The sequence below is a fragment of the Homo sapiens genome, chromosome 12 (assembly GCF_000001405.40).
Source record: "Homo sapiens chromosome 12, GRCh38.p14 Primary Assembly".
Taxonomy (NCBI): domain Eukaryota; kingdom Metazoa; phylum Chordata; class Mammalia; order Primates; family Hominidae; genus Homo; species Homo sapiens.
The window spans coordinates 32,172,021-32,184,162 of record NC_000012.12 but is presented as its reverse complement, the minus strand read 5'-3'; the positions used below and the strand labels follow the sequence as shown (position 1 = coordinate 32,184,162).

General features: G+C 39.1%; 1 protein-coding gene across 34 annotated transcripts in view, besides 1 other annotated feature; it reads right to left on the bottom strand.

The window, feature by feature from the left end:
- The window catches only part of BICD1 (BICD cargo adaptor 1), a 276,787-nt gene that overhangs the window by 199,471 nt on the left and 65,174 nt on the right, over window positions 1-12,142 (bottom strand). The window lies entirely within an intron of this gene.
- Window positions 10,446-10,960: an enhancer, noted in NCBI's record as "H3K4me1 hESC enhancer chr12:32326137-32326651 (GRCh37/hg19 assembly coordinates)". NCBI's record gives its function as "activates a minimal SCP1, AML or CMV promoter by ChIP-STARR-seq in primed H9 embryonic stem cells {active_cell/tissue: H9 hESC(primed)}" and the evidence as "EXISTENCE:reporter gene assay evidence [ECO:0000049][PMID:30033119]".

Genomic DNA, 12,142 nt, shown 5'->3' with positions numbered 1-12,142 from the left:
GATACCTTGATAAATGATTAAACACTTCACAGTGCCCTAAATTCTCAGCCTTCTTCAACAGTCCTGACCACTGCCACGCCGGACTCTAATGGCTGCAATAGGGATGGCGCCATGTTTGAGAGGCTTTCAAAGAGACCTGGAGCCAGTAAATGAGACAAGGTTTACTGAGAGGATTTACATACAGGGTGGTCCAGTGGTGACGGGCTGGACTAGACAATGGCAACTGCTTGTAAAAAGCATGCAGTTTATACAGCATTCTTGCTTAGCACCCTCCCCCTAGCAACCTCTATCTAACCCAAAACAAAGGGCCTCAATCCCCTATATGGCCTGTGTTCCACAGGATGGGCTGAGGGTTCAGATGTTACTCACAGATAAGGAATGACTCTCCCAGTTGGCCTTCCTGGATTTATTAGCTGGGAACTCTGAATACACATTCTTCTTAGGCTACAGGGTCATCCTCAGGTTATGCTTAAATTTTGTGTCAGGTGCATCTGCCATGCAAGGTCATTCTCAGAGTATGCTTAAGTTAGCTAGTGGTGTCAGCTGTGTCTGCCACACAACTATGAAAATCAATATTCCTTTTTAAAAGCTATTAGCAGGCTGGGAACAGTGGCTCACGCCTATAATGCCAGCACTTTGGGAGGCCGAGGTGGGCAGATCACAAGGTCAGGAGTTCAAGACCAGCCTGGCCAACATGGTGAAACCCTGTCTCTACTAAAAATACAAAAATTAGCTGGGCGTGATGGCGCGCGTGCCTGTAATCTCAGCTACTAGGGAGGCTGAGGCAGGAGAATCGCTTGAACCAGCGGTTGCAATGAGCCAAGATCGCACCACTGCACTCCAGCCTGGTGACAGAGCAAGACTCTGTCTCAAAAAAACTAAAAAAAAAAAAAAAAAAGTAATTATTAGTAAAATGGCCTAAAAGCCTGTAGAAACACAGAGAAATAAAATTAAGAAACCTAAGACCAGGTGTGGTGGCTCACCCCTGTAATCCCAGGATTTGGGAGGCCGAGAAGGGAGGATCACTTGAGGCCAGGACTTTGAGACCAGCCTGGGCAACAAAGCAAGACTCCGTCTCTACAAAACATTTAAAAAATAAAACAATGAGCTGAGTGCACTGGTGCACACCTGTAGTTCCAGCTAGTCTGGAGGCTGAGGTGGAAGGATTGCTCGAGTCTAGGTCAAGGCTGCAGTGATCTGTGATCACACCACTGCATTCCAGCCTTGTCAACAGAGCAAGACACTATCTCTTTAAAAAAAAAAAAAAAAAAAGAAAGAAAGAAAAGAAAAGAAAAAGAAAAAAACACAAATTTTCTAACCCAGTGTACAAAGCTCTGTAATACTCACTAAATTTCATGATAAATTGTAACAATGCTTTTAATTTTCTTTTATTTCTAACCCTTTGATTTTCTCAAAGCAATTTCTCATACTTTTATAAATAAAAATACTACCATTATGTATTTGCCAGTATATATTTATTATGCACAATGCCAGACAGCAGGGAATGCAAAGATCCTTTTCTCTGGAAGTGAATCATCTGCTCAGGACAGAAATTTACATATAAAAGAAATGTAGAAAACAGCGGGGCATGGTGGCTCATGCCTATATTTCCAGTACTTTGGGACTCCAAGGTGGGCAGATCACTTGAGGTCAGGAGTTCAAGACCAGCCTGGCCAACATGATGAAAGCCCATCTCTACTAAAAATACAAAAATTACCTGGGCATGGTGACGCCCACCTGTAATCCCAGCTACTAGGGAGGCTGAGGCAGGAGAATTGCCTGGACCCGGGAGGTGGAGGTTGCAGTGAGCTGAGATTGCACCATTGTACTCCAGCCTGGGCAACAGAGCAAGACTGTGTCTCAAAAAAAAAAAAAAAAAAAAAAGAAAGAAAGAAAGAAAGAAAAAAGAAAACAATACAATACAGAATGCAATGGTCTGTGTCATAGGAAATCAGGTTTTTCTGCTTCCCATAAAACCAAAAGGATACATTCAGATATTTACCACCACCTTTCTGAACTTGGTTTACAATGAGAAGTTTCCTGTTTTACATTGATATTCTTTAAATTCTGCTTTATTTGCAATGGAATAAATTCAGGTAGATCTAACAAGCATACCCTGACAGTTTTTCATTTCTAGCAGCTAATTAAAAGCAGCTGCAATGTTAGTCTTTGTAAACAGAATGCATCTTAGAGCAATTACTATCACAATTCTGCCAGACACCACGGTTTTATGGCCCAGACAAATCAGCTGACTGCTTCTTTCCCTGCAATCTGCTGCACAGGGACTTCTAGATCAGGTTTTGCTTTTGCTGAATTGATGAGGTACACACAGGCATAAGGAGAAAAATTTAATTGCACTAAAATTACATAGGTCAGTGTTTTTCTCTGTTAAAATGATAATAAGCAAATTCCAATTATAAGCAACAGTTGCTCAGAAAATCTAATTATGTTTCAAAAGCCAGTGAGTGAAAAATGATATTTTCTGATAGAATCACTAGCTTAGCTGAATTTGAAAATGCACTTAAAATATTACCCTTCATATAGAGCATAAGATAACCAGCTGTTTTATTGCATTTATATGCATAAAATGAGAGGCTCCTGATAGTAACTTTTAATGATTTCAAATGTTAGAGAAAAAAAATCAAGTTTAAAAATAAATTGTTTCATTTTGTAGCCAGAACTATAATGCACCATGGCATTAAATATGACAAATTTATAATAAAAAGTAAATTTTTTTTTTTTTGAGACAGAGTCTCGCTCTGTTGCCCAGGCTGGAGTGCCGTGGGGTGATCTCTGCTCACCGCAACCTCTGCCTCCCAGGTCCAAGCGATTCTCCTGCCTCAGCCTCCCCGGTGGCTAGGATTACAGGCGCATGCCACCACTCCCAGCTAATTTTTGTATTTTTAGTAGAGACAGGGTTTCACCACGTTGGGCAGGCTGGTCTCGAACTCCTGACCTCAAGTGATCCACCCCCCTCGGCCTCCCAAACTGCTGGGGTTACAGGTGTGAGCCACTCTGCCCGGCCAAAAGTGTAATTTTTTTATAAGCACCTCTTTAGTATTTGTATGCATGTCTCCAAATGCCAAAAACATTCTTAAGTTAATTTCTGGTTCTACTATAAAAAGTAATATTTCAATTTCTGGGTAAAGATGGATTGAAAAATATATTTATTTTTACTCTCCCCTAAAACTCCTCTAAAGATACAATAAAATTAAAAAAAAAAATTTGGTGCCCACAAGAGAATATGATAGGAAAGAGCAGTAACAAACTGTTAAAAGCTGGGATACAGATGGGCGAGGAGTGACTGATGTTGCAGACCTAAGAAAGCAAATGCTCCTTAATGAATAACATCATCACAGGGTTAAATGAGATAATCTAGCTTACAAAACCAGTATTCAAGGAATGCTAGCTTTTATTATTAACAAAATGTTTACAAAGTGTGATGTTCTGGAAGGCAGAATAACATTTTTGAATTAGTGAGTGAGGATTAGGAAAGAAGAAGGTTAGGAGAAAAATGCAACCTGACAAGACCAGAGCTGGGAGTCACTAAAGGAAAAGGCTTATTTTAGACTCTTTAAGGGAGCCATGCTCTTCCAGTTAAGACTAGGGTAACTTTGCCGAGGAAATCCTTTGAAGAAATCAATGAAGACAGCCAAGGGACGGTATCTTTGGAAATCCGATAAAGTTCAGAAATTAAAAATTTGACCACAGGAAATGCCAAAAAATAGGCCTAATCCCAGAATCATAAATAGAATGTGTACCTGATGCCTATTTTAAGGCCTCTGAGTCCCCCTTTTGATGGAAGTTTAAGTGCAGCTGACACTCTTCCAGAGGACATTCAAGAAGACATTCATCCTGAGGAGGTGGAAAACCAGAGCTGGGAAATATGTAGCGGGGAGGTGACTTCAAGGTCCAGGCAGGAAATCCTCTGGATTCTTTAAGAGGAGTCGCAGAGCTGATTATTGAACCCAGAAGCTCAGGGACATAGACGGCCACATCTATACTTAACTGACTTTGCCACTTCATAAAGGGAGAAAATGAAAGTCTAAAAAAGAAATTCAAGTCTGAGCTCAGGCTCTGAATAAACAGGGCTTTGCTTCTTTACCTACTGCGAGGAAATCCTCCACCTTAAATCCTCTTTAGTCTCATGCCAATTTTTTTTTTTTTTTTTTTGAGAGCGTGTCTTGCTTTGTTGCCCAGGCTGGAGTGCAGTAGCGCAATGTCGGCTCACTGCAATCTTTGCCTCCTGGGTTCAAGAAATTCTCCTGCCTCAGCCTCCTGAGTAGCTGGGATTACAGGTGCCTACCACCATGCCCAGCTAATTTTTGTACTTTTAGTAAGATGAGGCTTCACCATGCTGGCCAGGTTGGTCTCAAACTCCTGACCTCAAGTGATCTGCCTGTCTCGGCCTCCCAAAGTGCTAAGATAACAGGCATGAGCCATTGCACCCGGTCCCTGTGACAAAGGTATTAATTACTTCAGTCTAATACACAATTGTCACATAATTTTTAAAAATCCTTATTACTGCTATGAAAAATATTTTGCTTATTCCCACAATTTTAGTAAAGTTAGCACACTGGGAATCAAGAAAGTAGAGATTTAGATTCCTTTACTATTCAATTATCACATCATTAGACTTTAAGCACCGGCTAGCACAAATAGGAAGAAAAACAATTTAACTCAAAGTATTTTTGTCTATTTTAAGAAGGGATCAATATTTTGATGTCAGGTTCAACTTTAGTTAATATGGATTAATACATAATAATACCAAGTTTCTCTTTGTAATGTACACTTCATCTGGAAATTGATTTTATCATTTATTTAAAATATAAGTATATTCTTGGAATTATTTCTGGTGGAATAGCATCTGGAAACTGGTGTAAATGGGTTTCTCCACAGAACTGCTTCATCACTTGCGGCGGGGCCTGCTGTTTCTTCAGATGCACAGGCAGATTACTTCACACGGATAAATGCAAAGCAGCATTCCTTCCACCATGTGCCATAACCCCTCTTAAACGATATCTTCTTACACATTGATTTACATATCAATGGTCTTTAAAGAACTATGAAATATATAGTGCTCTTTTCAGTTAATACTCCATATATCCAAAACCTGTCCTATCGTATGTGGAAAAAGGTGGCCGCTCTGTTAAAAGTGCAATGCTGTTTTAACCAAGGAACAGATGTTTTCCCTAAAATAAGGTGTGAATTCCTTAAATACAAATGTGATGCAAGAGCCTCATGCAAAACTGAGTGACGTCCTCCACCATGAAATGATGCCCGGCCTGCAGTGTGCCAGGACAGCCTGCAGCAGTGCAGAGTAACTCCCAATGTCAGCATGCAGGACAACTGCCATTTTTACCAACCCAGCCAGCCACCAGGCTTTTGTACAAATTTAGAGGCTGCTCAGACCAACAAGCCACCTGCCTGAGGTTTTAATATTGCTAAGTCATGAGATCCCTGCTTCTATGGTCCATCCACTAGATAGAACAGCCCGGAGCAGTGGCTCCAACTTGAATCAAATGAAAGGCAATCAAATTCTAATCAAGTCAAATCCTGAGCTTAGTGCTGTAAATCACAGACAAATTTGCTGACCTAGCCAACAGGCCAGTCCCCTTTCATCCCATTCCTGCCCTATCTTGGCTTTCTGCCTTTTCCCTGAAACTGTAGCTTAGAACCCAGCAAGAACTGGGGCCGAGCCTGTTCAGCTGCAAAAGGTAGGCACCGAGCCTATGTAAATGAAGAGCAGGCCCTGTCAAAGTACTCTCCAGGTCAATCAAGTGGAGAACTGATTGACGTCAATTGGAGAATACTCTGACCAGGGCCTGCTCTTCTTTAACACTCATACCTGCATCTCTTTAATGCTGAGATCTTACTTTCCTATGGACTGTGTTCAACGGTGATCTCTTCATGTTATGAATGAGTCAGAATTATTCTGAGCTCTGACGGTGACAAATAGAATCTTGAGGGATCCCTACCCTCAATCAGCCTACCATCTAATTAAAGATTTGACTAAATCTTATATAATTACAGCTATCCTAAGAAAAGTATAATTTAAGGAATATTACTGTGTTTCAGTGATTCATACTTCTAGAAATAACTCCTGCTTTTTTCCCCCATAAGATTTTAAAAAGTAAACAAAAATGCCCATAATCACAATCATATTAGCACAAAGTAGTCAGGGCCATAGAATGCATACTGCTTTGCAATCTGAATTTGAATTTAACATACATTCTAAACACACGTATATCACTATTTTTAACAGCTGCAAATAACTTTGGTAAGCTCATCTTTATGCTGGTTCCAATATTTTTATCATTAAAAAGTTTTTGCAATAAATATTTTATATTTTATATAAATATTTATATTTTTATAAATATTTATATATTAAATATATATTAAAATATTTATATATATTTTATATAAATATATAAATATATTTATATATTTATACTCTACTAAATCATTTAACTTTAATAATGTGTTTTCTTTATCCCTGTTTCCTTTTTTTGTAAACTCAACCCTCTACACCTCCCCTTAACCACCTCCGCCACTCCAGCCACGAAACCATGGTTAGCATGCCAGTGAACATCTTTCACATCTTTTCTTTTGCCTATAGAATCGCGAACATATACATACATGTTATTGTTTGTCTTACAAAATTTGGATTATACTATATACATTTCTGGGCAACTTGTGTGCTTCTTTAAAAAAAAAAAAAGTCCCAGAAACTCCTCCAGATCAACAGATAAAGATCTAACTCAAAATTATACCTATCAGCAAATTGTATAATAATTTAGAAAATCAAAGACACGATATTTTAGAAACTGTCATTCTTTTTTTTTTTTGAGACTGAGTCTAGCTGTGTTGCCCAGACTGGAGTGCCATGGTGTGATCTCAGCTCACTGCAATCTCCACCTCCCGGGTTCAAGAGATTCTTATGCCTCAGCCTCCCAAGTAGCTCGGATTACAGGTGCGCACCACCACGCCTGGCTAATTTTTGTATTTCTAGTAGAGATGGGGTTTCACCATGTTGGCCAGGCTGGTCTTGAACTCTTGGCCTCAAGGCATGCGCCCGCCTCAGCCTCCCAAAGTGCTGGGATTACAGGCGTGAGCCACCATGCCCGGCCAAAAAACTGTAATTCTTAAAGAATTTTGTAAAGTGACTTAATACTAGATAAAAAACAGTAAGTAACATATAACTACCCTATGACCCAGCAATTACACTCTTGGGAATTCACCCAAGAAAAATGAAATCATGTCCACAAAAAGACTGGTATATAAATGTTTAATAGTACCTTTGTTCCTAATAACTACAAATGAAAAATGACTCAAATGTCCATCAACAGGTAACTGGATAAACAAAAATGTGGGACATTCATACAATGGAGTGCTCTCAGCAATAAAAAGGAACAAACAACTGAGATAAACACAATAACACTGATGAAACTCGAAACCCTTACGATGAGTGAAAGAAGACAACACAAAGGAGTACATACTGTATGATTTGATTTGTATGAAATTCTGGAATAAACACTAATCTACAATGATAGAAATCAAAACAGTATGATAGAATGATAGAAATCAAAATCTGAGGGCAAGGAACAAGGGACTTTCTAGAATGATGCAAATGTTTCGTATCTTGATTGACGCAGTGGTTGTATACATGCATGTATACATGTGTCCAAAAATAATTGAACTGTACACTTAAGATCTGAGCATTTTATCATATGTAAGTTATACCTCAATGTAAATGATACCTCAATCATACATCAATAAACTGTGAGAAAAATGTTAAGAAAAGAGGAATAGGAACCCTCATACATTACTGCTAGAAATATAAAATGGTGTGGCCACTTTGGAAAATAGTTTGACAATTTCTCAAAAAACATAAAATGAACCACCAATTCCGCTCCTAGGTACCTACTGAAAAGAAATGAAAACATATGTCCACACAGAGACTTACATGTGAAGTTCACTGGAGCATTACTCATAATAACCAAAAAGTAGAAACAACCTACATGTCCAAAAACTAATGAACAGATACACAAAATGTAGTACATGCATACAAGGGAATATTATTCAGCAACAGAGGAAGAGAATACTGACACAGGCGACAACATAGATGAACCTTGAAAACATTATGCTAAGCGAAAGCAGTCAGACACAAAAGTTCACATATGGTACCATCTCATTTATATGAAATGTCCAGAACAGGCAAATCCACTGAAACAAGAAGTAAATTAACGATTGCTTGTGAATAGGGGTAAAGGTGCGAACAGGGATTAACTATAAATGGACATGAGAGATCCTATTAGGAGGATGAAAACGTTCTAAACCTGAACATCTATCGTTACATTACAGTTGCATCACTCAGTAAAGCTACTAAAAATTATTGAATACTAAAATCATCTTGAAATAGGTGATTTTTATGATATATAAAATATATTTCAATAAAGTTGCTTTTAAAAAGTTAAGGAAAAAATTGGGGGACCTTCCCAACGTATTTGGAACAGTAATCTAAGGATGTTAAAAGCTTAGAATGGGCTGGGATTGGTGGCTCATGCCTGTCGTCTCAGCACTTTGGGGAGGCCGAGGTGGGTGGATCACCCGAGGTCAGCAGTTGGACAGCAGCCTGGCCAACATGGCGAAATCCCGTCTCTACTAAAAATACAAAAATTAGCTGGGCTTGGTGGCGTGCACCTGTAATCCCAGCTACTCGGGAGGCTGAGGCAGGAAAATCGTTTGAACCCAGGAGGCAGAGGTTGCAGTGAGCCTAGATCATGACACTGCACTCCAGCCTGGGTGACAGAGCAAAACCCCATTTCAGAAGAAAAAGAAAAAAAGCTTAGTATGTGTTAGAAACACAAGGTAAAAAGAAGAAAAGGGAAAGTAGTGTAGATTGTTGAATCTCCTCTCAAACGCTTTTTCAGATATCCATTCATGCATTCATTCATTTGTCCTGCCAGAATGCTGGGGATAAACTAGTAAACAAGATAAACATGATCTACCTTGTGCTTACACATTCAAAAGAGAAAACAGACCCCAAAAGGTCAACTAATAAATGCTTGCAAATAATAAATGCTAGAAAATAAAGAGGAAAAAAATCAATAGCTTTGTCTTATAGTTACAATAACCAGATAGAATGGGAATTTTAAAATTCTATTTACAAGAAACTATAAAACATTTAGGAAAGGTATAGATCCTACATGAAAAAGACAACAAAACGCATATTTAAAATACTAAAAGAAGGTTTGAATAAACAGAAATACATACATTTCATGCTTGTGAATCAGAAGATTCACTCCAATTAGACTGCCAATGAGGTTTCAGATCTGAATGATTTAAGCGATTTAAAAATATGTTCATTGAAAAGTAAAGATCTGGAAATAACCAAGAAAATTATGAAAAAAATAATGAAAGGAGTAATTACTATTTTAAAATTTCCACTGAAGACAATGCTTTCACAGGTTGTGATACTGGCCTGTAAATACATCAGTGGGAATAGAACAGAAAATCTGGGAAAAGATGTGAATATAGACAAGAGATAGCAACTCATTTCATAGGGCAAGATAGTTTGATTATGCTGACACAATGGATGTTTAACTAGAAGAAAACAAAGAGTAATCCAATGGATTAATTTTTTCTCTTTTTTTTTTGGAGACAGGGTCTTGCTCTGTGGCCCAGGCTGGAGTGCAGTAGTGTGAACATTGTACACTGCAGCCTCAAACTCCTGGGCTTAAGCAATCCTCCCACCTCGGCCTCCCAGGTGGTTGGGACTACAGGTGTATGTCACCACGCCTGGCTCAGTGGATTACACTTTAACTGAAAAATACAATATTAAAACTTTAGAAGAAATTTAAGAATATTTCTATAACTTACCAACTGGCAGATGTTTTTGTGTTAAACAAAAAATAAAGACGCTAAAAAGGAAAAAACAGATACATCTGACTCTGTAGACATCATACATTTTATAAGACAAAAGATGCATAAAGCCCACAGAGAAAGAGTACAGAAGGGAAAGCTATTTTCAAGACAAAGTGATAATATTTATAATAGACAAAGAACTCCTATGAATTCACAGGGAAAACAATGAACTCTCCAAAACAGAAATGTGATGACAGCTTTTCATTTCTGTCATAAACAAGATTACAATATGTTCAAGATCATTATGTAAAAGCTGTCTCAGAACTCTGTGGGAAGAAGCAGAGTGGTGTGTTGTTTTGTTTTTGTTTCAATATGAAAATAGTTTCTGGAAATCTTGGTAAGAAATCATTTGTGGAATAAGCAATTCCTAAAGTGTTCACATTCATTTATCCAAAAAATGTTGACTGAATTCCAAAAATATACAAATTTCTTAGAGAAGTGTTTGATGAACACATCTGGCAACTATATATAAGTCTGAATACTTTTTCAGAGATGAAAATCAAAGTAAATTAAGTGGCTAATAATTTCTAGAAAGTTGAAGAATATTGGGTTTAGAGTGAAGAATTGCTGTCTTTGGGTGTTTTTTCTCTCTTTGAGCTACTGAACTGAGAAGAAGCAAAACTCTAAAGATGTTAAAACTAGGTGAACATGACTCTAGCCATTATTTTTTCGTTTTCTTTCTTAGAGAACATTTACCAGAATGATCACAATGTAAGCTACAGCTCTCATAGATAGCTGAGAAATAAGTGAACATCACGCTTACCTCAGCTACTCAGCAATGAATACTGAGTTATCCAATCAGGTCAGCAAGGCATCACTTTAAGGAATCCAGGTGAAAGTTTCTAGGAGTCGGACAAGGGATGGTGGTCAATTAAAACTCTGCCTGGGCCGGGCACGGTGGCTCAGGCCTGTAATCCCGGCACTTTGGGAGGCCGAGGCGGGCGGATTGCCTGAGCTCGGGAGTTTGAGACCAGCCTGGGCAACATGGTGAAACCCCATCTCTACTAAAAACAAACAAAAAAAATTAGCCAGGGGTGGTGGTGAGCCTTAGTCCCAGCTACTCAGGAGGCTGAGGCAGGAGAATTGCTTGAACCCTGGAGGCGGAGGTTGCAGTGATCCACGATCGTGCCACTGCACTCCAGCCTGGCGACAGAGTGAGACGCTGTCTCCAAAAAAAACAAAAAAAAAAACTCTGCCTCTGCCTGAACAGGGCGGGACTCCGGGGCAGTCAGCTGGGAGCTGAGCGGGCTGGTGAACTCAGGCACTTTATGTTGTTGGTATTAGTTGGGTTATGTTGTCAACCTGGTGATGCTGGTTTAACAACTGAAAAATGCCGAAAGAGAATAGAGGATAGCTTGGCTTAGGGCATAAACTGGAGTCAAGATTAATATAATTAATGTCTAGCATGGAATCTCCTTAAGAGCAAAGACCTTATCAGTCTTATTTAGCAGTGGATCCCCAGTTCTGGAACTGTGCCTGGCACATGGTAAGCACACAAATGAATGGATGAACAACCTGTCCTACCCAGGTCAGCATCTTCTGAGAGTAACACTGACCATTCATAAAAACCCTGGAGGACTAAACACTCTGGACTCCCCTATAAGTGCATGTCAGGAGTGACATAAGGGCCTGAGTCTTGGGAGCTTTCCACTCCTTTAAAACACTTAAAGCTGTGGGAATGACTGATAAGAGAATAGGGGGCAAGAGAGAACAAGGTGAATTCAACCAGATCTACCTGAAGCCTTGGGAAAGGCTCTAGATTCTGGATCTCTTACTACCTTTTCTCTGGAGGGCTTTTTCTTCACCATCAAAGTGTTAAGATCAGAGATTCAAGTGTGAGTTTAGAGTAAGGGAGCAAAGCAGCTTGCTTGCAAATCAATTTCCCTGCAAGACTCTAAGCTAAGGTTCCTTTGAGTGAAGGAAACTTGTCTTTTCATCTCTATATAACTAGTATCTGGTATAAAACCAAACTAGCCAATCCCTGTCACAAAAGATCCAGCTACTTGGGAACTCCAGTTAACCACAACCTATATCCTTCACTAGCACTGATTCCCTCTTCTTTCAGTAACTGATCATTCTAGACTTACCACATAGATACAAGCCAGACAGCAATGTGTGCATTCGTGCCCAGTCCTGAGTAGAAGCAAACAGAAAAGGAACGGAGGGAGAGGCAGAGAAAATTGATGCAAAGAAACAAGGAAGGAAAATCTGTCTT